This window comes from Homo sapiens, chromosome 20 (genome assembly GCF_000001405.40).
Source record: "Homo sapiens chromosome 20, GRCh38.p14 Primary Assembly".
Lineage (NCBI taxonomy): Eukaryota > Metazoa > Chordata > Mammalia > Primates > Hominidae > Homo > Homo sapiens.
The window spans coordinates 4237027-4261008 of record NC_000020.11 but is presented as its reverse complement, the minus strand read 5'-3'; the positions used below and the strand labels follow the sequence as shown (position 1 = coordinate 4261008).

The 23982-nt window shown below is 49.7% G+C and overlaps 1 protein-coding gene across 1 annotated transcript in view, besides 1 other annotated feature; it reads left to right on the top strand.

The window, feature by feature from the left end:
* Positions 1 to 11721: 11721 nt before the first annotated feature.
* Positions 11722 to 23982, top strand: part of ADRA1D (adrenoceptor alpha 1D) — a 28658-nt gene continuing 16397 nt past the window's right edge. The window contains exon 1 of the mRNA NM_000678.4: positions 11722 to 13162. Coding sequence (NP_000669.1) covers positions 12052 to 13162 — 1111 coding nt within the window. The 5' untranslated portion in view covers positions 11722 to 12051. The remainder of the gene's footprint in view (positions 13163 to 23982) is intronic.
* Positions 18353 to 18647: a silencer, noted in NCBI's record as "tiled region #5115; HepG2 Repressive non-DNase unmatched - State 10:DNaseD". NCBI's record gives its function as "represses a minimal TATA promoter and a strong SV40 promoter by Sharpr-MPRA in HepG2 cells {active_cell/tissue: HepG2}" and the evidence as "EXISTENCE:reporter gene assay evidence [ECO:0000049][PMID:27701403]".

Genomic DNA, 23982 nt, shown 5'->3' with positions numbered 1-23982 from the left:
CCTTGTCCCCAAGTTCCTTCCCTGGATCCAGTCCTCCCTCTCCCCCGCTTATCCTTTTAATTGCTCTCCCTCTGCACTTCTGCTGACTCCTCCCTCCTCTTCCCTTATCCAGTTCCCAATCCTTTGTCAATAATTCCTAAGACCCTTAAATGCCAGGTGCCTCAAAGATATAACCGCTCCCATGAGCCAGACAGGCAAGCAACTGTAGAATTTAAACCTTGGGCCAGAATTGAATTAATAACCATAAGTACAGATTTTCCTAAACCCAGACAAGACCAGCAACTATTCACAGATAAATTTAGAATTATTTGGGGTGCATGTGACCCAGGGTTACCAGACCTCTATCAATTTTACACACGTTGGTCAGAACCTCAGATGCTAAATCCTACTAAAGGTGATTGGACCGACCTGGATCCCTCTTTCCACAATAAACCTCAAGATAAAAAACAGGCCCAAAAAGTAGGGCAAAATCTCCTAAAAGCCCTACCTGAAATATTTCCAATAAAAATCTATTGGACTATAATCTCATCATGCAAAAAAAGAAAACCTAGGCTTTGATACCCCATTGTTTGCTCAAACACTAGCCTAGATGTTGCTGTGAAGGTATTTTGTATTAATAGATGTGATTGACATCTCTAATCAGCTGACCTTAAGTAAAAGAGATTACCCTCCATTATGTGAGTGGGCCTCATCCAATCAGCTTAAGAGGCCCTACGAGCACATACTGAGATTTTCCAGAGAGGAAGGAATTCTGCCTCAAAACTGGAACGGAAATTCTGCCTGAGTTTCCAGCCTGCAGCCTGCCCTACAGATTTCAGACTTGGCAGCCCCCACAATTGAGTGAGTCAATTCCTTAAAATACAGAAAAATAAAGAAAAAAATATTTTATAAATATATATATATATATATATATATATATATATATATATATATATATATATACAGAGAAACAGACCCAGACCCAACAGGTATATATATATATACACACACACATATATATCCTGTTGGTTCTGTTCCGCCAGGAGAGGGACAATGGGAGAATCCAACTGTTACAGCCCTGCAGATCAAAGAGCTATAGATGGCTCACTTCCAAACTGGTCACCTGTACTAATGAGGATATATTTAGATATCATGAACAGAAGGGACACTGGAAAAATCATCCCATTTGAAAAAAAAAAAAGTATCTCAATTTAGATGAATGAGGGTTCTCTAAGGAAAGAAAAAGTACTCAATAGCCTGCCTTACCCTTAAACATCTAAGGCAAATTAACTATTATAAATATAGATGGTCAACCTCATTGACTCCTGGTAGATATGGGTGCTACTCTTTCTGCAATGAATGCTGCCACCTTCGTTCAACCTCTTCCTTAAACACACCACACCGGTGGCAGATATGTCAAACAGCCCACAAAATTTCCCTATGTCTTAGCCCTTAAATGTAACCCTTGGGCCCTTCTTAAATGATGGCCCTGAATTAATGACTGCCAAGTGGGGGTGGAAATCTCTTAATTTCTTAATCTCTTAATTTAAGACATCTCTTAAATCTCTTAATTAAGAGATTAAGAAATCTCTTAATTTCTTGGTTCCCATATCCAGGTTGCTGAATCTTGTTAGAAAGCATCACAATTTCCTGGTCTCCAACCTCTCAGCTGGACTTTTGAAACTGTTTAGCAATCATATTTGCCCCTGGACAATCTTACTGGCCCCTTTCTCATTTCCCACAATGGTTATTACAAAATCTTATTATTCTTTTTAATTCCCATAACTCCCCAACACCCACATCAGGCAGGACCCTTCTGGATTTCTGAACCCAACAACCTACAAACATCTTCATCTTCCTACCCTCTGTTCTAGTTTTCTCTCTGAAGCAAACTGCTGCAACTGGGCTTAGAATACCACGCCCTGCTACCTATCGAACATCTTACTCCATCCCTCTGCACCTCCTCCTGAACCTTCAACTTCTACCTCCTTATTGAATCTTTTCTCAAAGCTTATAAACACACTCAAACCTCTTCCATCAGAAAGAGTCCACTCCCATTTGTTCTTTCATCTCTTTTTGCATCCGCAACAACTTCCTGCCTCTACTTTCTCACTCCCATTCCCTCCTTGGCCTTCTGTGCTGTACTGGAGGACATCTGAGTTATTTCCAGGTTAAGTATTATGGCCGAAGCTGCTATGAATATTTTTATACATGTCTATGGGGGGGACATAAGCTGAATGTCCCCCCCATAGACATTTCTAGATCACAGGCTATATGTATATTAAGCTTTAGTAACTGCTGCCTTGCAAATTTAAAGGCAGTAAATAATTTCCTCAACTGTCAGTGTCAAAAAGCCTGAAATTTAAAAAACTCATTTTGCCTTGTATCAATCAGCTTTTGCTACATAACAAACTCCGTTGATATCTCAGTGACATGCAGCTAGAAACATTTATTTCTCGTTCATATGTCTGCAGATTGCTTGGCATAGCTTCACTGCAGATGTCTCATTTTGGTGTCTGACATGAAGATGCAATGGCAACCTGAAATATGGTATTTTTGTGGTGATGGCAGAAGCACAAGAACACGAACCCAATCACACAAGCAAATTCAAGCTCCTGCTTTTGTCACATCTGCCAACATCCCCTTGGCCAAAGCAAGTCATATGGCCAAGCTCAATGTCAAGGGGCAAAGACAATTATTGTTCCCACCATGAGGCTATGGAAGGGGTATGGATGTATAATATTACTACAGAGGAGTGAAATGTGGTCACCAATTATGCCGTCTTCATGCACTTATAGACCAATCTTTGCCTCCGCCACAGTTGCTTTGGGGAAAAAAATCCACCTACATAGTATGCGGCAGCATCTTCCTTGAGGTGAAAATCCAGTGTGCTAGGCTCCAAACTCTCTGCTAAATCCCAAGCCTGATGAGACATGAGCCTATTAACTGAGCCCCATGCTTAAGCAGATTTATTCACCCACTACCAGGCAACGCTATTCCTACACAGGTCCATCTACATGGAGGTAGGGACCACCCCTAAGGAAGGGATTCCTAGGTAGGGCTCATGGCATACATTGGAGATAAGTTCTATTCCATGGGCCAGTCACCCCCACGCTGACAGCAGGGGCACGTACTCCTCTGATCCAGCTCCGTGTTCGTGCCTCTCAAAGCGTTCCTCCTAGGAGAAAGGGCCCCACCCCTGCCCTAGACAGACTATGCTCCTTGGGATGAATGAAAGCCCTCTCCAATCATCTCTTGCAGAAGGGCTGACACCTTGGGACACAGACATATACTGTAACCCTCAGTGACACTCAGAGGTGCACAGTCCTTCAGGCATTCATTTGCTTACTCATTTGTTGATGCATGTTTTCATCCACTAACTCAACATTCACTGAACCACTTCAAGAAGCGAGCACTGCGCTGGCTGCTGAGCATAAAAAGACAAATATGTTACAGTCACTGAAAAACCCAAGAAGTTCACTATCTCCAGATAGGAATAAGACCGGTAAGCAACTAAATTACCAAACACTACTCTACAGAGGAATAAATCAAAGACAATAGGGACACAAAGGAGAAGATGAATGGGAGCTTCACAGACACTCAATCCCCAAAGGGGGCAGGGTTATTATCACCATTTTACAAATGGGAAAATGTAAGATCAGAAAGATTAAGTGACTAACTCACAGAGAAGAGAGGAAGGGAGAGTTGTAGGAGCCCAAATGGTCAGGCATGGAGAACTCCAAAGTAGAGAAGGCCAGCCTCACTTCCTAATATTTTTCCTGGGACAGTTGGAATTTTTTGCTTTCTCCATCCTTCCATTTCTCCAGGGAATCATCATCAAGGGAAGTCCTCCTTCACTGTCTTCTCCAGAGATTGAATCTTGGCCCAGGAGAAAGGAAATGGAAAATGGCTCTGGGCCATCTTATTCATGAGCTGGAGGGTTGACATCCCAGCAGGAGTTGTCTCAGCCTCCCTAATTGGGATTGGAGTCATGCAACACTGCCTGGCCTCTAAAGTTGATTACAGGTCACTTCCTCTGAATGGACTGGCCTATTTTAATTCTGCGTTAGGAAATCTCTCTCATTAGCACGCGCTGCTCCATTTGGCAGCCAGAGCACTTGTCAGGTTAGCAAAGTTTATCCCTGGAACTTTCTCACCTTTCTTTCCATCACCACCGAGTATCCCCACTGGATGACTCCCCTACTCCTCCTAGTTCACCATCCCACAATGGCTAAGCAGATCTAAGGGGCTGGAGGAGATAGTGACCTTGTACGTCACCTCTACTAGGAGATGAATTTAATATAATGAGAAACACACTGGTTCTTGGAGTTAGCAGACCCAGATTATAGGGGTGGAATTTCAGGCACTGATAAAGGAAGGTAAGAGATTCCCATTGGCATGAGGTAGATTCTATAGGGAGGGATTGCTTACTCTCTATGAAGGTTAGAACAGTGTTAGCTGAGCCCCTGATACCCACCTTAATTTTCCTATTGCATTCCCAGAGCTGAGTGAGTTGGAATTGTCACCAACTGTCACCAGCACATTCCCAAATGGCATTCCCAATTCTAGCCCTTTTTTAGCTAAGCCATGGTGGAAATGTTCATGTTGGGCCTGGTCTGGAAGAAAGAGCAAACATGAAAAGTCATGGAAGCATCCGCTGGGCCTGGGTACAGTTCTAGTGGGGGGTTCAGGGCAGACAATCTCTCTGCTCTTTTCACAATGCATCTATAAGGCATTTCCTAGCCAAGACCCAAATTGAGTATTCCTAGGTCTCTTGCTGTCCTGCAGTATAGACAGGCTGGACAGTTGCCAAACCCATTCCCTATTCCTAGGCACCTGGCTAAGCCACATTTCCCCCTTGCAAGTAAGTGAGGGTATGGGACTAATGGGCTTAGACACAACTGTTGTGCTTGATTTCTAAAATATCCATGTAATTCTCCACACTCTCCCTTTCTTCTTTGGATATCTTTTATAGACAATCCAGAAGAGATCTCCAGGACTCTGGAGCTTCCCAAGTCTCTAGAAAACAATGAATTCACACATCAAAAGGAGCCTAGATCCCTGAGTTGTCCCATAGAGAAGATCTGCCCAGGACAGCTGTTCAATCAGGTACTTTCACGTTGGCCTTTGAGTAAATGAGAAATGAAGTTTTATTGTGTTAAGTCACTGAAATGTGGGGGTTGCTCATTACAGGTTTTAACATATCCTGACAAATCTCTGCCCTGAGAGTTTTCCACTCCAGTGTGTCTTCCAACTTTGTTCACTATCCTGCTTCCCAGCTTATCTCCTCTCCTGAAGAAAGTAAAAAGAAACAAAAGAATATATCTTAGAAGCAGAAGCAAATACAGCTGCAAAGCAAAGAGCCACCCCAAGGGTCCCCAGAACAGTGGGCTGCTAGCCAGGTTCTGAGTGGGAATTTCATTTCATTGCTACCCGCTACCATTTCTATTAATTTCCAACTCTATTAATTTTAGGCAAATATTAGCACAAATCATCAAATCATAACTGGCTCAAGTTCCCTCCAGCCTCTGCTGACATAGAGATGGAGCTGAGAGGATGGACTACTCAGAAACTCCTTCCTGCAGAAACCACATTCTTTCTCCAGATACTCCCTGACCCATGACCGGTCCTGAGCACCAAACTTCGCTGTCCTGAAGGTATGGGAGGGTAGCACTGAGACCTTACCCTTTCACTCAGTGCCTTTGCTGACCACAGCATGGATCTAGGGAAGAATGGTCTAATTAAGGAAATCAGGAAGGTTTTGAGTCAGTCAGTATTATGGGTTAGGATGTAGCCAGGCTTAGGATCAGGCCATGGTAAGGTAAAAGGTCAGACCAGGGCTAGAGATCAATTCGCAACTGAAGAATGGAATGGATGTCCATATTCTTCATAGGAGTTGATCCCAGGAAGTGGCAGCTTTAACAAAGTCTTCCAATGACATGCATGAATTTGCACCCTTTGGTCTGGCAGTCAGCTCCCACTGCTATTCTAGGACGGGGAGGTACTGGAAAAGGGTTCTTTTAGATTTGGATTTTCTTTGGCGATTTCATTGCAAAGAATCTTCAAGACCCAAATATCAAACTCAGATAAAACTTTTGTCCATGGCAATGCGAAACTCTCCTCCTAACTCTTCCGGGTAGCACTCTCTGCCATTTGAATGCAAGCCCCAGGATGGCAGGGAATTTGCTTTATTTATCATGAGCTGAGCACAGTGGCTTATACCTGTAAAACCAGCACTTTGGAAGGCTGAGGCAGGAGGATAGCTTGAGCTCAGGAGTTGGAGACCAGCCTGGGCAACATAGCAAGGCCCTGTCTCTACAAAAAAAAAAAAAAAATTTTAATTATCCTAGCATGGTGGCGCATGCCTGTTGTCCCAGCTACTCAGGAGGCTGAGGCAAGAGGATGGCTTGAGCCTGGGAGGTTGAGTTCAGAGTGAGCTGTGATCATGCCACTGCACTCCAGCCTAGGTAAACAGAGTGGGACCCTATCTCTCTCAAACAAACAAAAAAAAAGTATATATATATATGTATATATATCTCCCCAGTGCCCAGAATAGTTCCTTGGCATATAGCTGGTGCTTAGTTAACTTGTGTTGAATGAATGAATAAAGGCTGCCCAGGCTTGATGGGGTGGGAGGAAACTGGGGGTTGACCAGCTGGTTCCCGCAAACAGGATACATCTGTCATGAATTTCTTCCCCACCACCGTTGTCTCCCATTCGGCATCCTGACTCTGACAGTGCCAATCAATCTGTATCATCTTCACAAGCAAGGAGGCGGTCCAGAACTCCTCAATGCCTTCATGACCCCTTGCAGGGTTCCATCAAGCCTCCTCTTTAGGGGCTAGAGTCCAGGGTTTGTCAGCATAGGAGTTAACTTCTCAGTTGTAAGACAAACCGCTCCTTTTTCCTTGCTGTCACTCTAAAGAGGTCTCATAAGGGAGAAGAGATAAATGCAGGTGCTTAGTCTTCCATCTAAACTGGGCGCCATACTGCCAAATCACAAAGAACCCCCAGACCAACAGGGTCTCCAGGGCTCACTGGGCCAGCAATTTGCCCACAAGGCTCCTGGACTCACAAGGCCATGAGAATGCCTCAGGGAATGGGATGCAGCATGAGAGGGAGGCCTCGAGGGTCTCAGGACTTTGCCTATGATCCAACCAAAGTTTCTCCACAAATATCTGCTTGTTTATATTGGGCTTCTTTTTTTTTTTTTTTTTTTTTTTTTTTTGAGACAGGGTCTCGCTCTGTCACCCAGGCTGAGTTCAGTGCTGCCATCGCGGCTCACTGCAGCCTCAACCTCCCAAGCTCAAGCGATCCTCCCACCTCAGCCTCCAGAGGAGTTGGGACTTCAGCTGCACACCACCACAGCCAGCTTTTTTTTTTTTCTTTTTCTTTTTTTCTGGTAGGGACAAGGTCTCACTATATTGCCTGGGCTGGTCTTAAACTCCTGGGCTCAAGAAATCCTCCTGCCTTGGCCTCCCGAAGTGCTGAGATTACAGATGTGAGCTACCATCTCCAGCCTACATTGGGTTTCTATGAAGACTTCACTTAAAGAATTACCTTGCTTTGATCTCTGATCTAGTTCAATCCCATTTGCCACATTTTATAAAGGAGACAACTAGGTCCAAATATTTGCCAAAGACCATATAGGGAGGAAGCACAGAGCCAGGACACCAATGTTTGACTCTTAGGTAAGAGTTCCTACCAAAACTGCTGATGACTTCCCTGCTGCCCCAGGAAAGGCTCTGCATTTAGAAAACATACGGCCTGCTAGGGACTTGACTCTAATAGGGACAGCTGAGAGGATAGTTGATGGAGTAAGGGAGAGGAGTTCACATCATATCACAATATCACAATTGATGCTACCACCAGGCCCAACCATTCTTCCTCTACCACCTGTGGCAAATATTTTACCCAAAGGAATAAACCCAACAGTATCCTTCAGCTGAGAACATTGACAGATCATACACATGGCAGTTTCAGAAAGCCCTCCAACGTTTCTTTTTTTTTTTTTTTTTTTGAGAGAGTCTCACTCTGTTGCCAGGCTGGAGTGGAGTGGCGCCATCTCAGCTCACTGCAACCTCTGCCTCCCGGGTTCAAGTAATTCTCCTGCCTCCGCCTGCCAAGTAGCTGGGACTACAGGCACACGCCTCCACGCCCAGCTAATTTTTGTATTTTTAGTAGAGATGGGGTTTCACCGTGTTGGCCAGATGGTCTTGATCTCTTTACCTCGTGATCCGCCTACCTCAGCCTCCCAAAGTGCTGGGATTACAGACGTGAGCCACCGTGCCCAGCCCCAACATTTCTTTAGAGAAAGATGGTCCCACTTTCACAGGCCAGCCAAAGTAAGGAATGATGAAGGATGGAAGATAACTCTTGACCCAAAGGGTATTTAAGCTCTCCCTGAAATTCGCTTCCTCCAGGAAGCCCTTAAGGATGACTGGAGGGGACAGGCTCCACACCAAAATGCTTTGGAGGCCGGGCACCATGGTGGCTCATGCCTGTAATACCAGCACTTTGGGAGGTCAAGGTGGGAGGATCGCTTGAGCCCAGGAGTTTGAGACCAGCCTGGGCAACATAACAAGATCCTGTCACTACAAAAACTAAATAAATAAATAAATAAATAAATAGACAAACAAACAAAATGCTGTAGATATGTGCCTGAGAGTCTCAGTTTCTGGACCTTGAGTTCAGATAGGAAAGTTCTAGCCATTTTTCCAGAGGATGTCCCTCTGGACAGCATTCTATTCATGTATGAGATGCTAGAACACAAATCTCATGTAAGAATCATTTCGGGAACAAAAGCCTCTGACTCACATTCATTCATTATAATCCAAATAAATCCCAGGGTCCCATGTGGCCCAGTTTCAAAGCAGCATCCATTTTAAAGAAACAACCACCTCATCATGCTTCCTGCAAGTCACCTTCCAAACAACTTACTTTGCGCATTCCCCCACAAAAAAAAAAAAAGGTAAGAAAAAGGAAAGAGTCCAGTCCCACAAGACTAAGTGTGCTATGAACTTAAAAGCACTGGTGAGTTATCAAAGAAATATTTTTAAAAGAGTAAAATGGTCATATTTAGGAAGGCCCATATAGCAACAGACTAGGAGGCATTATTGGAGTACGAATGAAAATCAGAGTGAGGCGTGATCAGGGCCTGACCTTAGGCAGAGACCTTGGAGAGAAGGGGATGCGTTCACAAAGTCAAGTAGGCAAACACAATCAACACCACTCTAGGACTGGCTAGATTTGGGGCGGAGAGTAAAACAGAAAGAGGAGTTTAGGTTTCTAACTGCAGCAATTGCATAGATGCTGGTTCCATTTTCATAAGTGAATACAGTAAGTTGAAGATTTTAGTGTCAGAGATGGTGAGTTTAACTTAGGAACATGCTTAATTTGAGGTCCTCATGAGGCATCCAAGCAAAGATCTGGGTGTGAATGGTGTGCTTGGGATGATATTGAGCTTTATCCCAGCCCTCCACTGCTAAAACCTCCCTTCAGAGAGAGATAGCTCTTTCTCTTGTTGCCCCTGCCACCAGCACGTTGTCCCCACCCCTTCCCGGATTTCAGCCTCTGATAAGCAGGTACAGGAAACTCACAACGATCTCACAACCGCTGTCCTTCCATATTCATTCCCCAAGAGCTTCAGAACCTCTGGAATCATCTTGCAGACCTTATGACGACCACCAAGACCTGAAATGGGGAAAGACTTCCCCGTCTTCTTCCAGGCATTCTATCCCACAAGTCTTCCTACACTGCTGGCAAGGACACCTCCAGCCAGCCTTCTGCTGGCTCTCCACACCAGAATCAGGCACAGATCTCTATGTGACACCAGTCAAGTAGCCCCCAGCACCCCAGCCCCAGCCCTAGGTTTAACTTTGTCTCCTCTTCCCAGTCTTTGAAAACTGGCCAATCCCAGAATCAAATGGATTCCACCAGGGTTGCCCCTATCCCACACTATGTGATAGCAGCCAACCATGGACACTGACTTGCCATTTAACACCCTCCAGAGAGGAGCTCCTTGCCTCCCCTTTCAGTTCCCACTGTCCCTCCCCTCTCAGAAAGGAAGCCCAAACCCAAGATTTTACTTTTGGTCAGCTGCTAGCTAATCCCTAGAAGCCACGTTGCTTTCGTTTCAACTCACTATAGTAAGTTTCCAAAAACCAAAATAAAAGAAGATTTAATGGGGAAGGCCTTGGAAGAGCTGTTTCCAAGCTATGATTATAAAAGCCTTATCTTCCTGGACTGGGCAATGGGGAGGAGGGAGGCCACCCATCTCTAAACATTTCTGCAGTTTTTTACTTTTTCTCCAAAGCAGCTTCTCATCTAGAACTCAGACATCCTGCCCCTGTGTCAACCATAACCAGTGAACACTAGGGCTATGGGTTCTCCGTCCCCTCCCAGACACTTCTGCAAACAGGCCTTCATCTCCCTGGTAGGGCTCAAGCCCTCCTCATTCTGCAACTATGAGACGGCATTACCCTCCTTACAGTTAGTGTATCCAGCATGGTGCCTGCCACGTGCCAGCAGCCGGTATTTTTATGTTGGCTAACTGTATGATTTCCTTGTGCCTCTCCCTACCCAGTCCTGCTATTGCTCAAGAAGCTTCTCACACCCTCTCCCACATCTGCACCCGGGGTCCATACCAGCCCCACACCTCCTCGCCTTCCATCCTCCCTGTTAAAAGCCTGCCCTGAAGAAGCCCTACTCCGCTGACATGCCCAGGCACTGCTCTGGGGCCCTCACTCATATTTACTCAGTTAACCCTCAGGCCAGGAGGTAGACATCACTTCTTATTCTCATTTGACAGTTGAGGAACTGAGGCACAAAGAGGTTCCGCTGTTAATATGGGGCGGAGCCTGGATTCAGATGCGGAGCCAGACTGTCTCACACCCGCCCCGCTTAACCATCCTGCCAAGTGCCCTTTCCCACCCTCTGGCACTTAAACCCTCCCTCTTAAAAAGGCCAGAACAAGAACAAGGCCCCTTATTTAGGGTAGCTATAGAAAGGTTTATTCCCGCATCTGATACAGGGAAAAGTAACAGTGGGAAAGTTGGCGTATGTAGACCAGCGTGTCTTGGGCAGGGTCCGAGGGCTGTAGCCACAGCCTGCTGCTCCTGAGCCCATCGTACCCAGCCTCTGCCCAGCACAGGCTTCCGACCCTTCCTGGGCTCTCTTCACGCCATCGCACTGGACAGAGGCGTCTGAAACCCTGCCCTGGCCAGTGGCGTGAGAAAAAGGAGGTGCGGCAGATCCATGCGGGCAGTCCCAGGAGGCAACCCGCAGCGGCACTGCGCCGTCCGGTCCGCAGTCCGCAGATCCCAGGCGCTTGCTGCTCTCTGGCGGCCAAAGCCGGGATCCCGAAGACCCGGGACTCACGCCTTCAACGCACCGCGCGCCCAAGGGCACCAGCGAGTGACCGAGAGACTCGGGGGAGAGGGCGGGAGGAAGAGGGACGCCGCTGAGGGCCAAGGGGGAGGGGGTCCGGGAGAGGAGCGGGAAGGAACGCAAAGGGCACCGCTAGGGGAGAGCGCGGGCTTGGGCACCTGCGGAGAGGCGTGGGTGGCTGCTGCGGGACCCGAGCGCGCGCCAGCGCCGCAGCCCCCCGGACCCCGACACAATCGCTTGTCCTGAGCGAAGGGTCCCTTCTACCCTGGAGTGTGGCGCCCGTCTCTCGGCCCGGGTCGCCCCCTCCTCCTTCCTGGCGCTGCCCCTCCTCGGTCCCGCCCCCCGCGCCGAGTTGGGAGCGCCGCAGTGGCCGCTGCCTGCACCGCCCGGCCCCGGAGCCGCCGCTTTGCCCGCTTGCCGGGCACGCTCAGAGCGCCGCGCGCGTAGCGGGCCCCGGCTCTTCGGTGCTACTCCACGGCCGGCCTCGGGGAGCCCGGCCGCCGCCCGGGCCAGGCAGCTCCGCTCTCGGACAGCCGCGCTCCGCGTCACAGGAACTTGGGCAGGACCCCGACGGGACCCGTGCGCGGAGCTGCATCTGGAGCCCCGCGGCTATGCCCTGTGCTCCCCTCCCTGCCGGCCGCTCGTTCTGTGCCCCGGCCCGGCCACCGACGGCCGCGCGTTGAGATGACTTTCCGCGATCTCCTGAGCGTCAGTTTCGAGGGACCCCGCCCGGACAGCAGCGCAGGGGGCTCCAGCGCGGGCGGCGGCGGGGGCAGCGCGGGCGGCGCGGCCCCCTCGGAGGGCCCGGCGGTGGGCGGCGTGCCGGGGGGCGCGGGCGGCGGCGGCGGCGTGGTGGGCGCAGGCAGCGGCGAGGACAACCGGAGCTCCGCGGGGGAGCCGGGGAGCGCGGGCGCGGGCGGCGACGTGAATGGCACGGCGGCCGTCGGGGGACTGGTGGTGAGCGCGCAGGGCGTGGGCGTGGGCGTCTTCCTGGCAGCCTTCATCCTTATGGCCGTGGCAGGTAACCTGCTTGTCATCCTCTCAGTGGCCTGCAACCGCCACCTGCAGACCGTCACCAACTATTTCATCGTGAACCTGGCCGTGGCCGACCTGCTGCTGAGCGCCACCGTACTGCCCTTCTCGGCCACCATGGAGGTTCTGGGCTTCTGGGCCTTTGGCCGCGCCTTCTGCGACGTATGGGCCGCCGTGGACGTGCTGTGCTGCACGGCCTCCATCCTCAGCCTCTGCACCATCTCCGTGGACCGGTACGTGGGCGTGCGCCACTCACTCAAGTACCCAGCCATCATGACCGAGCGCAAGGCGGCCGCCATCCTGGCCCTGCTCTGGGTCGTAGCCCTGGTGGTGTCCGTAGGGCCCCTGCTGGGCTGGAAGGAGCCCGTGCCCCCTGACGAGCGCTTCTGCGGTATCACCGAGGAGGCGGGCTACGCTGTCTTCTCCTCCGTGTGCTCCTTCTACCTGCCCATGGCGGTCATCGTGGTCATGTACTGCCGCGTGTACGTGGTCGCGCGCAGCACCACGCGCAGCCTCGAGGCGGGCGTCAAGCGCGAGCGAGGCAAGGCCTCCGAGGTGGTGCTGCGCATCCACTGTCGCGGCGCGGCCACGGGCGCCGACGGGGCGCACGGCATGCGCAGCGCCAAGGGCCACACCTTCCGCAGCTCGCTCTCCGTGCGCCTGCTCAAGTTCTCCCGTGAGAAGAAAGCGGCCAAGACTCTGGCCATCGTCGTGGGTGTCTTCGTGCTCTGCTGGTTCCCTTTCTTCTTTGTCCTGCCGCTCGGTGAGTGACCCCTCTCCCACCGGCCCCTCCTGTTCTCCCTGAGCCTATGGCGGTGCCCTCCTGGCACCCAGACTTGGGCGACCCCCACCTGAACCTAGAAGGTTGACTTAGCAAGTCCTGAGTCTCCTAAGAGGCAGGTGTGCATGCACCATTTTGTGGAGTGCCAAGGAACGGTTCTTCATCCTCGCCAGGTTCGTTTCACAGGCTTCTAACTTTTCTGTCCTTCCCTTCTTCTTTTCCAAGCCTTGGGCTTATGCTGCTGGCCCCTCTAAAAATAAAACGTCTGTGAAAATCTGGGCGGGCATCTGCCCATATGTGGTCGGCAGTGTATGTGTCCCCCTACAGATCCCCCTCCCGGGAGGTGGGTGCACAGAGTGGGTGGGCCTACATGTGTTCATTCATGGGTAGCAAGCCCTGGCCAGTCAGCAGGTACATCAGCAGATGCCAGAAGCCACCCGCTTTTCCCCAGCACTCATTCAGTTTGGAAGCTGGCCCCATTTGGGACCCTCCCCAGCTGGTGTTTCTGAGTGCCCCGAGTTCTCATTTCTGAGATCCCCTCTTGGAAAGGAAGGAGGCTGAGTGGCAATGAGAAGCACAGGGATGGGGATAAATTATCAAATGGAAAGTTCATATTGTTAATCGTTATTTCTTGAGCTTACTGAGTCCTTGAGCTCTTCCGAGGAACTTTCCTGCTTCTTTCACAAGCTGTGCTGCAGTCCTGGGAGGTAGGCAGCTGTCTTCAGAGGCCGCCTCCTACCCCTTGAGGCCTGTCTTGGAAGCCCTGGGTCTGGGACTGGAGGCTGGACCAGTGCAAGGAGTAGTGGGGGAACAGCATCTCTGGGGATGAATTTGCCCGGGGTCAGATCCACCCATGGCTGCAACCTCCGCAGGCCCAAGCCGGGCCTTCTCTGCCTCTCCCAGGCCTGGACCCTTCCACACTGCCAGGCTGAGTCAGGAAAGAGACAATGGCCTCCTTCCTGTGCCCCCGGAAGCCCTTTCCACACTGCAGCCACAGTGAACTTTATATATTATAAATTAGATGTGTCACTCTCCTATTAAAAGCCCTCAATGCTTTCCCACTGTCCTGAGAACAAAATCCAAACTCTCTATCATCACCTATGAGAGGGTGACCTTCAAATATATTATTGTCCGAACCAAAATAGGACACTATGAATATTTACACTGGGACCACAGGCTGGAACTGGGGCCATGCAGACATGTGGTCCCCCTTCCTACAATGGAGATCTCAAATGAGAGCCATCTCCCTCTCTGCCCTCCCCCTCTCTGCCGTCACGGTCTTGCCGCTTCCCTCTGCTCTGGGCTCCTCCCCTCTGACCCTTTCTGGTTTCTTGCTGGAGCCCCTGCCTGTCCTCAGGCCTTTGCACTTGCTATTCTCTCCGACTTCGCTGTCCTTCCCAATCTCTCCTGGCCAACTCTATCCTTTAGGTCTTGGCTTAAATGTTCCCTCTTCAGAGGGACCTTCTTGGACCCATGACCCTCAGTGGTGTCCTTGTTTTCTCCCTTGAAGCACAAGGTTCGCTTCCTTCACTAGATCATTGGTTGTAATTACATCTGTGTGCTGCTTGTTTTGTTTCTGGGACTGGCCCAGAAGCTGTGTGAGGGCAGGGCTGTGTCACCTGGGTCATCACTGAGTCCACGGCACTCAGCATGGGCCTGGTATGTGGGGAGCAAAAGAGAGCACTGCAGTGAGGATCACAGGCTCTGGCGCCAATCCCAGCTCTGCCTCCCTCCCGCTAGCTGCGTAACCGTGGGCAAATCCCTTAACCCCTCTCTGCTGGCTTTTTTATCTATAAAATAGAGATGGGGTGATGGTAATCATGCCTATCTATAGGGCCATCGTGGAACTGTAGCTTTTGTAGTGGATACTCAATATAGGGTAAGGAATGAATAAGTAACCCTTGAAAATCATCCAGCCAAAGGTTGTTGCAGGGATGGGGCAAGCAACGGACCCTAAGCAACACACTAGGAGAAGCAGGCAAGTAAGCAGGGAAGAGAAAGTTGGTGCCCGCCCCTTTAGACATCCAAGCCCATCCCCCAGGCCCATCGCCCCAGCCCCTGCTCCAGCCTTGCCCAGCTGTGCTGGGCTCCTGGGTGCCCTCATTCAACCCCTGCCCCTCGGTTCACACTGGGCCCCTGTAGGGAACGCCCAACCTGTGTAGAATGCCAGCTCCCTGTTTTTTTTTCCTTTTAACTTCCTTTAAAATTTTAGCTTAATGCACAAATAAGGAGAAAACAATAAAACAAGCACCCACATGCCTGTAATCACCTATACTGAACAGATGTTAACATTTTGCCATATTTGCCTCAGACCCCTTCCTCTCTCTTTTCAAATAAATAGAACAAGCCATAACTAGATCCCCTCCTCCTGTCCCTTCCTCTTTCTCTCCCTGCCTCGCCAGAGATAAATCTGGAGTATATCACTCTTATACAGATGTTCATACTCTTACTACAAACATCTGTATCCATAATAATATACTGTTTTGTTTGTCTTTGAGATTTATATGAATGGCACCTTGCCATGCGTATCACCGTTCTTCAATTTGCCATTTCACCCAACATTATGTGGCTGAGATTTATCCATGCTGGGCCATTTTCACAGCAGTACATTTGAGAGTATTCCACAGTGCGTTGATCCTGCTGAATGTTAGGTTTTTCTAACTCTTCCTTGTTCCAATCAACACTGCAAAAGGCCACTGCTTTCTTTGAGGTCCACGTCACGTGACTCCCTCTTCCAGGAAGTCATCCCTTAATTTCCATGACCTTTGCTCCTTGCTGGCACGCACAGCTCTTTCTCAATCCTTACATTTCTGCTGCGCCTCACATGTGGTGTAGGGAATTGGGGGGTGGAGGAGGCCCTAAATCCTCCTTCCTAATGGTCTGTGCTGCACCAGGCTTCTCAGGGCACCTTTCCGAGTGCCTCAGAGCAGAGCCCAGGGACACTGGTGGAGCTGAATTGAGTTGAATCTGGCAATGATGAGCAAACAGGACAGAGGCCAAACAAGGAAACAAAATATTCCGATCTGCCCCAGTATGGCTTGGAGGGCAGAAGCAGCAGAGAGGGAGGGCAGAGCCCATTTGGAGCAGGAGGGGTCTGGAGGCTGTGCAGGAAGGAGAGGGGGCCAGGAGGTCCTGACACCCCCAGCATGAGGCCCAGGCCTGGGAGGAGGGAGATACCTTTGAAGGAACAGGGAACACTGAGCAGCAACTTTTGGGGGGAATGTGGACCCCCAGGGGCTGGTATATGTTGGTGTGGAGGTACCAGGTGTGTGGTAGGGGATAGAGAACATTGGAAACTTGGATGCAGGGATCAAAGATGGGGATGGTTGCAGGAGCATGGAGTGCAGTCTCCCAGAAAGAGGAGGAGAGAGAAAAGAGGATCTCAGGACAGAGCTTTGGGGAGCATTGACGTTGAAAGACCCAAAGGAGGCAGAAAAAGAGGCAGCCAGGAGGAGCAGGATGGCTGTTGAGGTGGCACCTGCCTCCTCCCAGGTCCTGGTCACCACACTAGCTGTGACGAGCACCAGAGACGGAGAGATTGAGAAACAATGTATATGCCAGCAAGGAATGGGCCCACATAGGCCCTGGAAGTAAAGGCACCCAGTAGGGCCACAGCAGACCTGGGGTGCCCTCACTCACACTTCCGCACACAAAGCCAGGTGGTAGCAGCAGCCACAGCGGCCTGGAGGGCATCAAGAGTCTCAGGGAAGGGCCCGGAGTTCCAGAGGAACATTGGCACTGTGAGCCATGGGCTGTCACCTGTAAACCTGGAATGCTGTGGTCAGGCCAGAGGGGCAGCACCACAGGAGGGCTGTCCTGAACTGTGGGGGCATCTAAGGACCCAAGTCACTGGCTGGGAGACACTGGGACACAGATGTGGGCACCTAAAATCCAGAGAATCCCAGAGAGTAGCTGGGGATCATCCCCTACACTTCCAGCTGCCCCGCTTTCCCTGTGAGGAACAACTGCAGAGCATGTCCCCAAGGCAGGCAGAGGGTCAACCAGCTCATTAGACCGCAAGTGCCCCGATGCTGCGATTTCAGGGAGCAAGGCTGGGGAGGGCAGCACCAGCTCCTCTGGGACCCCCAGGAAGCTGCTGGTGCCAGAGGTGCGGAGGTGCGTGTAGAACGCCCCTCACCGAGAGAGAGGGGAGGGCACCCTCCTGCCCACGTTCCGTGGTGATGCCCAGTTGAGCTGCCTGCTCCGTGCATAGTGACCCAGGACAGTCCCGTTCCTTGCCTGTGACCGGTGGGATAGCTAGTAGTGCTCCCCTTTCAGTCAGAGATGCTCCACTTTGGAGATAGAACGTAGTGACACCAATCCCTGGGGCCTGTGAAGGAAGTGCTCTTGGCAGCCCCGCCCATGCCAGGTACAATCCCCTACCCTCACCGCAGCAAGCTGGTGCGGGCTGGGTGCCACGGAAAATCACAGGGAATTGTCTAAATCTGCCCTCCTCATCGGGATCCTTCAGCCGGATGCCCCGAGGAGCCCAGACTTGTAGAGTGAGTGTGGGAGGGGCCGCAGTGAGAGCCTGCTGCCTGCGGACTTCCAGAGAGGACCCAGAGAGAGGGGGCGTGGCTGCGGCGGGGCTGCGTCGTTGGGACAGTTGGGTAGGTTGGAAAAGTCCCTGATAAAAGCCTCTGAAGCCTCTGCGCTGAGAAGCTTCGTGCAAGAATCCCCTGACCCTAGAGGTCTAGGCCAATTGTGTAGAATGCAGATCATCCTCCCTGCGGGTGTGAGGGGTACCGGAGGGGCTGGGGAAACCCTGCCCCAGGCAAGCACCCAACTGCAGAGAAGCTTCCTCCTCTCCCGGGAGCCTCCAGAGGCCCGTGTCCCTCCTGCGTGTTTTCATGGCGGCAGCATCTCACTGCGTTTGGGTTTGGGCTGCCTGGTAAGTGTCCCCCAGCCACGCCCAGAGGTGGACTGTCTGCCGAGACCTACATACACACACAAACACACACACACACACAACAGCCCCACCCCTGTCACTCCTAGTGACCACTCACAGCTCCCAGGCTTTCGATCCCAGCTCTCTCTTGTTGGGCAGATCACCGAGCATCACTGACCTCCACCTTCCAAATGCCATCCACTCAAAGCAGCCCGGAGACTCAGAGCCCAGGGCCCCCCTCAAATGCACCTCAAGGCATACAAGCTGGGCAGAGGCTCTGATATCAGAAGTCCCAGGACAGCCCAGCCAATGTCCCACTCCAGCCATCTGTGAGCCACACCTGAGCCTCTCTCCTATCTTGTGAGTCTGTGCTCTGTGATAGTGCCTGTGTCGCTGACCACCCCCAGACTTAGATGTCCCATGTGCTTCTGAAACACTCTGCATGTACTTTTATCACGATGCACTGTAACTGTCAATATTCAGATATGCATCATGAAGTGTGAGGGCAAAGGGAACTACACACACGTAGGCACAGGAGTAGCAGTATTGCTGGGTTGCTCTGTGGTTTGGGAGACGTAAAACGTGTAGCCTATGAGAAGAGGGGTCAAGAGATGAGGCCAGATGCCATCTGCAGGAGAATGGATAAATAAACCATGTATCCATAGACTGGACCACGGTACAAGGAAAAATAGCAAACTACTGATGCACACATGGATGAATTTCATGGATGTTATACTGCGCAAAATAAGCCAGGTCTGAAACTCAAGGTGTACACACCTTTTGATTCTGTGTAGATGAAGTTCAAAAACAGGGGAAACTTATCAATGGTGATAAAATCCAGGATAGCGGTTACCCATCTGTGTGTGTGCAGTGAGTGTACTAACTGGAAGAGAATGCTAGAAAACTTTCTGAAGGGCTGGGACAGTTCCATACCTTGACCTGGGTAGTGATGACATTGGTGCATGCATATGCAGAGCCATCAGGCTGTGCTGTGTGCTTCAGATACACACGCTTTCTAAATTTGACTGTCTACATGTTATGCCTTTGTTACAGTGAGAGAGAAGGCAGGAGGAGGCAGGGGGGAGGCTGTGAGCCCTGCTTAGTAATTGGTGTCCAGGCTGGAAGGCATACTTTGGTGGCCCCGTGCGGAGAGTGGATTATGCATATGTCTGAGAGTCGGCCAGGTGCTAAAGGACTCATCTCCACAGGCTGCCTGAGGTTGTGCAGGGGTCTGTGGATGAAGGGGAGAGGCAAGGGATGCTTTGTGCTAGGTCTTCAGTAATGGCATCATTGTCTCCCGGCCCAAAAGCCTGAAGAAAGGGCTGGCATTACATCTCCTACCTGTGCTTTGTGGCACCTGGAACATAATAGGTGCTCAGTAAATGTGTGCAGAAGAAGGAAACGGTAGAACCCATGTTCTATTCCCATCCTGCCACACCAAGGGTCTGGGTGGCAAAGCACAGCCCTCCATTTATTTATTATTTTAATTTTCTTTTATTGTGGCAAGAGCATATAGCATGAGCTCTACCCTCTTAACACACTTTTAAGTGTAAATATCATATCATTAACTACATATCATTAACTATGGATACATATCATGTGATACTGTTGCACATCAGACCCCTAGAACTCATCTATCTTGCCAAACTGAAACTTTATGCCCATTGATTAGCAATTCCCAATTTCCTAGCGCCCTTTCTCCCTGGAAACCACCATCCCACTCTTTGAGTCTACGCATTTGAGTATTTTAGAGACCCCCATGTAAGTGGAATCATGCAGTATTTCTCCTTCTGTGACTGGCTTATTTCGCTTAGCATAACAGCCCTCTATTTAAAGTCAACTCTCTTTACTTGTTGTGGGTTGGGGGTGAGTCCCCATTTTTGTGGCCTAAAAAAAAAATCTTTAACAGGACAGTTAATATTTATTGAGTAATTACTATGAATAAGCAATGAGCTAGGGTTGGGTTTTTTTCATGTTTTTAACATGGAAAGTTTCAAACACATACATTGATAGAGAGAACCCTGTTAGTATAATGAACCCCTGTGTACCTGTGACCCAGCTTCACCCCAAAGCTAACCTAGATTCTTTCCATCCTCACCCACTGTCCCATCACTGTAGATTCTTTTGGATTTTTGTTTGTTTGTTTTTTGAGATGGAGTCTCTCTGTCTCCCAGTCTGGAGTGCAGTGGCGCAATCTCAGCTTACCGCAACCTCCACCTCCCGGGTTCAAGTGATTCTCGTGCCTCAACCTCCCAAGAAGCTGGGATTATAGGTGTGCACCACCATGCCCAGCTAATTTTTGTATTTTTAGTAGAGACGGGGTTTCACCATGTTGGTCAGGCTGATATCAAACTCCTGACCTCAGGTGATCCACCCACCTCGGCCTCCCAAAGTGCTGGGATTACAGGCATGAACCACTGCACCCGGCCACTGTAGATTATTTTGAAGAACATCCAGATACAGTATCCCTTCATCTGTAAATCCTTCAATATATAGTTCTAGAAGATAATAACTGTAAAAAAAAAAAAAAAAAGCCCACAATCCATTATAACACATAAAATCATTTAATATCATCAAATATCTACTTAGTGTTGAAATGTTGCTGGCTGCCTCGTAAATTTTTGGTTGGTTTGTTTGAAGCAGAATCCACAGAAGGAGCACACGTTGCATATGGTCGATTTGCCTATTAGGTTTCTTTACTCGGTAAGCCTCCACTGCTTTTTTTTCTTTCCATTTATTTAGTGAAGACACCAGATTGTCCCCAGGTGTATCCTGTAGTTTGGAGTTTGCATCTCCACAGTGCCATTTAATGTGTCCCTCTGTTCCCTGTACTTCCTGGGTGCAGATTTGGCCTGGAAAGAATTCTTCTTTTCTGTGGTGTCAAGATTGACCAGAATTCATGTGCTGTCAGCCTGCTCTGTCCATTACAAAGTGACCCATCGGCCTTTCACCTGCTGGTTTTGGCAGCCATTGACCATGGCCTGGACCCATTATATCACTGGGGCTTGAAGTGGGGATATTCTAATCCTATCATACCTCCTTCATTTATTCACTAGCATTCTAAAATGATTTCACCACTAGCTGTTTGGTTAAATAGAATCTGTACAGCAAAGGCAGGGAAGATGTTCAATATTCCTCTTTATTTATCAGAGGAAGAGTCAGTTCTCTAGCATTCTTTCCAGACGTGACCACTGAGGCTGTTTGAGTACCATGGTAATGTCATTATTTTTAGACATCCTTGCTGTTCCAACACATCACAGACATCATTGTTTTGGGCTTGGCCAGTGGGTACTCCTTCCAGTTGGCTTCTGAGATCTTTGGCAGAACCTGGAGCATCTTGAGCTCTTCTTTGCTTTCTGATCTGATAAGATGCTTCAGGCTCAGCTTGCATTTTTTCTGCCCTAGACCTGGAATTAGCCATTTCCCTAAAGAGCCCTAGTCTGTTTCAATGGAAGATGACTGAGCTGTTCATTGATACTGAGTTGGTCACTGATTCAATGGACAGATCTAGGAAGTACATTTTATTTTCAGTAGAAGAAAAACACAACACTGATGGGGACTTCTGTCCTTGGACATATATTCCTCCTTCCCCTCCCCTGAAGATCTTGTCCTCTGCCCAGCTCCTGCTGATATGTTTGTCCCAAACATCTGAGGAACTGTTGATCACCCTGCTCCATTCATTAAAGATCTGGGCATCAGAATCACACTGTTTTTTCCTCACTCCCACCCCTACCCTGGTCATCAGTGTGACTCCACTGTACTGAGGCTGACCCATGATGACACTCTGGCCTTGAGACTACAATGACCTTCCCCTCCTCCCCTCCTCCAAGGCCTATGCCCTGGTCCATGTGCCCATTTTACTCTCCCTCCCCCAGAATCCTCAGTGAAGCTCTTCCTCCTGAGTCCATCTGCTCCTGTCCTCCCTGCTTGGTTCCCATTACACCTGCTCATCAACCCCAGCCTTGACCAAGCCTTCACCTCCCTGCCCTCACCTTGTCTCCCAGTCGATTACACATCCCTTCCTTAGTCAGCTAGTCCCAGAGGATGATCTGTTGCTTCATCCTCTCTTGCCGTCTTTAATTCCCTCACTTCCTCCTATTTCTGTGAGCCCCAGATCCTGAATTAGACCATTCCTCCCTATGATGTCCTGGTAAATGTTACACAATTGGCTCTGGGATGGAGGCTGATTTATAGCATCTGCCTATTTTCATGGTGTAAATATTCCAAAGAGAGCTCACAGCATTTCTGAAATTGTAGCAAGCTAGTGCAAACCAGGGTCTAGCTGAGCACTTGCTGTAGAAAAGTCACACTTTCCATAGTCAGGCTGCTGCCTCGAGGCAGCCCTCAGGGTCTCCCCATAAGTCCTGCAGATCCTCTGTAAGCTCTGACTCTCTCTCAACCCTTTTTCCTTTCTAAGGAGCCTTACTCTTTCAGTTACTCCTCAACCCTCTTTGTCTCCTACCTCTCTTCTGTCCACACATATAGCACATCGACATGTCCAGAGCTTTCTTAAAGATTCTCCCTCAATCCCATGGACCCTTTTGTCCTCAGCCTTCCCCCACTTAGCACTGTAGTCTTTTCCTCCCTTTCACCTACTTGTAAGCATATTCTTTGCTACTTACCCTCTTAACTCTTTTTTTTAAAGATTAGTAGCTGCTTTATTTTATTTTATTTGTTTTTTATTTTTTGAGACAGGGTCTTGCTCTGTCACCCAGGTTGGAGTGCAGTGGCATGATCTCCGCTCACTGCAACCTCTGCCTCCCAGGTTCAAGTGATTCTCCTACCTCAGCCTCCCAAGTAGCTGGGACTACAGGCACCCACCACCACGCCCGGCTAATTTTTTTTATTTTTAGTAGAGACGGGGGGGGTTTCACCATGTTGGCCAGGCTGGTCTCAAACTCCTGACCTCAAGTGATCCGCCCGCCTCGGCCTCCCAAAGTGCTGGGATTACAGGTTTGAGCCACTGCACCCAGCCGACCCTCTTAACTCTTAAAAGAATATCCTCTCAGGCTGGGCACGGTGGCTTGGGTCAGGATTTCGAGACCAGCCTAGCCAACATGGTGAAACCCCGTCTCTACTAAATAAATAAATAAATAAATAAATACAAAAATTAGCCAGGAATGGTGGCATGTGCCTGTAGTCCCAGCTATTTGGGAGGCTGAGGCAGGAGAATCGCTTGAACCTGGGAGGCAGAGGTTGCAGTGCAGTGAGCCGAGATGGAGCCATTGCACTCCAACCTGGGTGACACAGCAAGACTCCATCTCAAAAAAAAAAAAAAAAAAATCCTGACATTAGTCTTGATTAGGACACCTTTTCCCACCTGCCACATGCATCAGCCCTACTCAGGGTAGCTCCTGCCATTCTCACACCTGCCCCAGGGCTAAGGGCACACACTTCCCTGGATCTGCCTTGGCACTGTCACCGGAGGCTGCCAGATCCTCACATTCAGAGGGCTCTTTTTCTTTCTTTTTTTTTTTTTTTCAAGAGATGGAGTCTCTCAGAGCAGAATAATGGAGTGAAAATTTTGTTTTAATTGTTTTTAAAGAAAGAGACAGGGTCTTACTCTGTTGCCCAGGCTGGGGTGCAGTCGTGTGATCACAGCTCACTGCAGCCTCCAACTCCTGGGCTCAAGCAATTCCCCACATCTCAGCCTCCCCAGTAGCTGAGACCACATCTAGCTAGGGGTCTCAAAATTTTAAGTCCTTTCATTCACTCCTATATGTCAGTTTGTCCCTCTCCCCTTTCTTCTTATGACCCTTAATATCTCTCTCCCATCTCCCTCCTGGTCCTCTGGCTGCTCCTTCTCAGCCTTCCTCGGAGACCCCTCTCCCCTTCAGATCCACATTTCCAGACAAACCCTCTTCAGCTCCAGCCCCAAGTCCAGCTGCTAAGGTCCCAGCAGCCCCTCAGACAG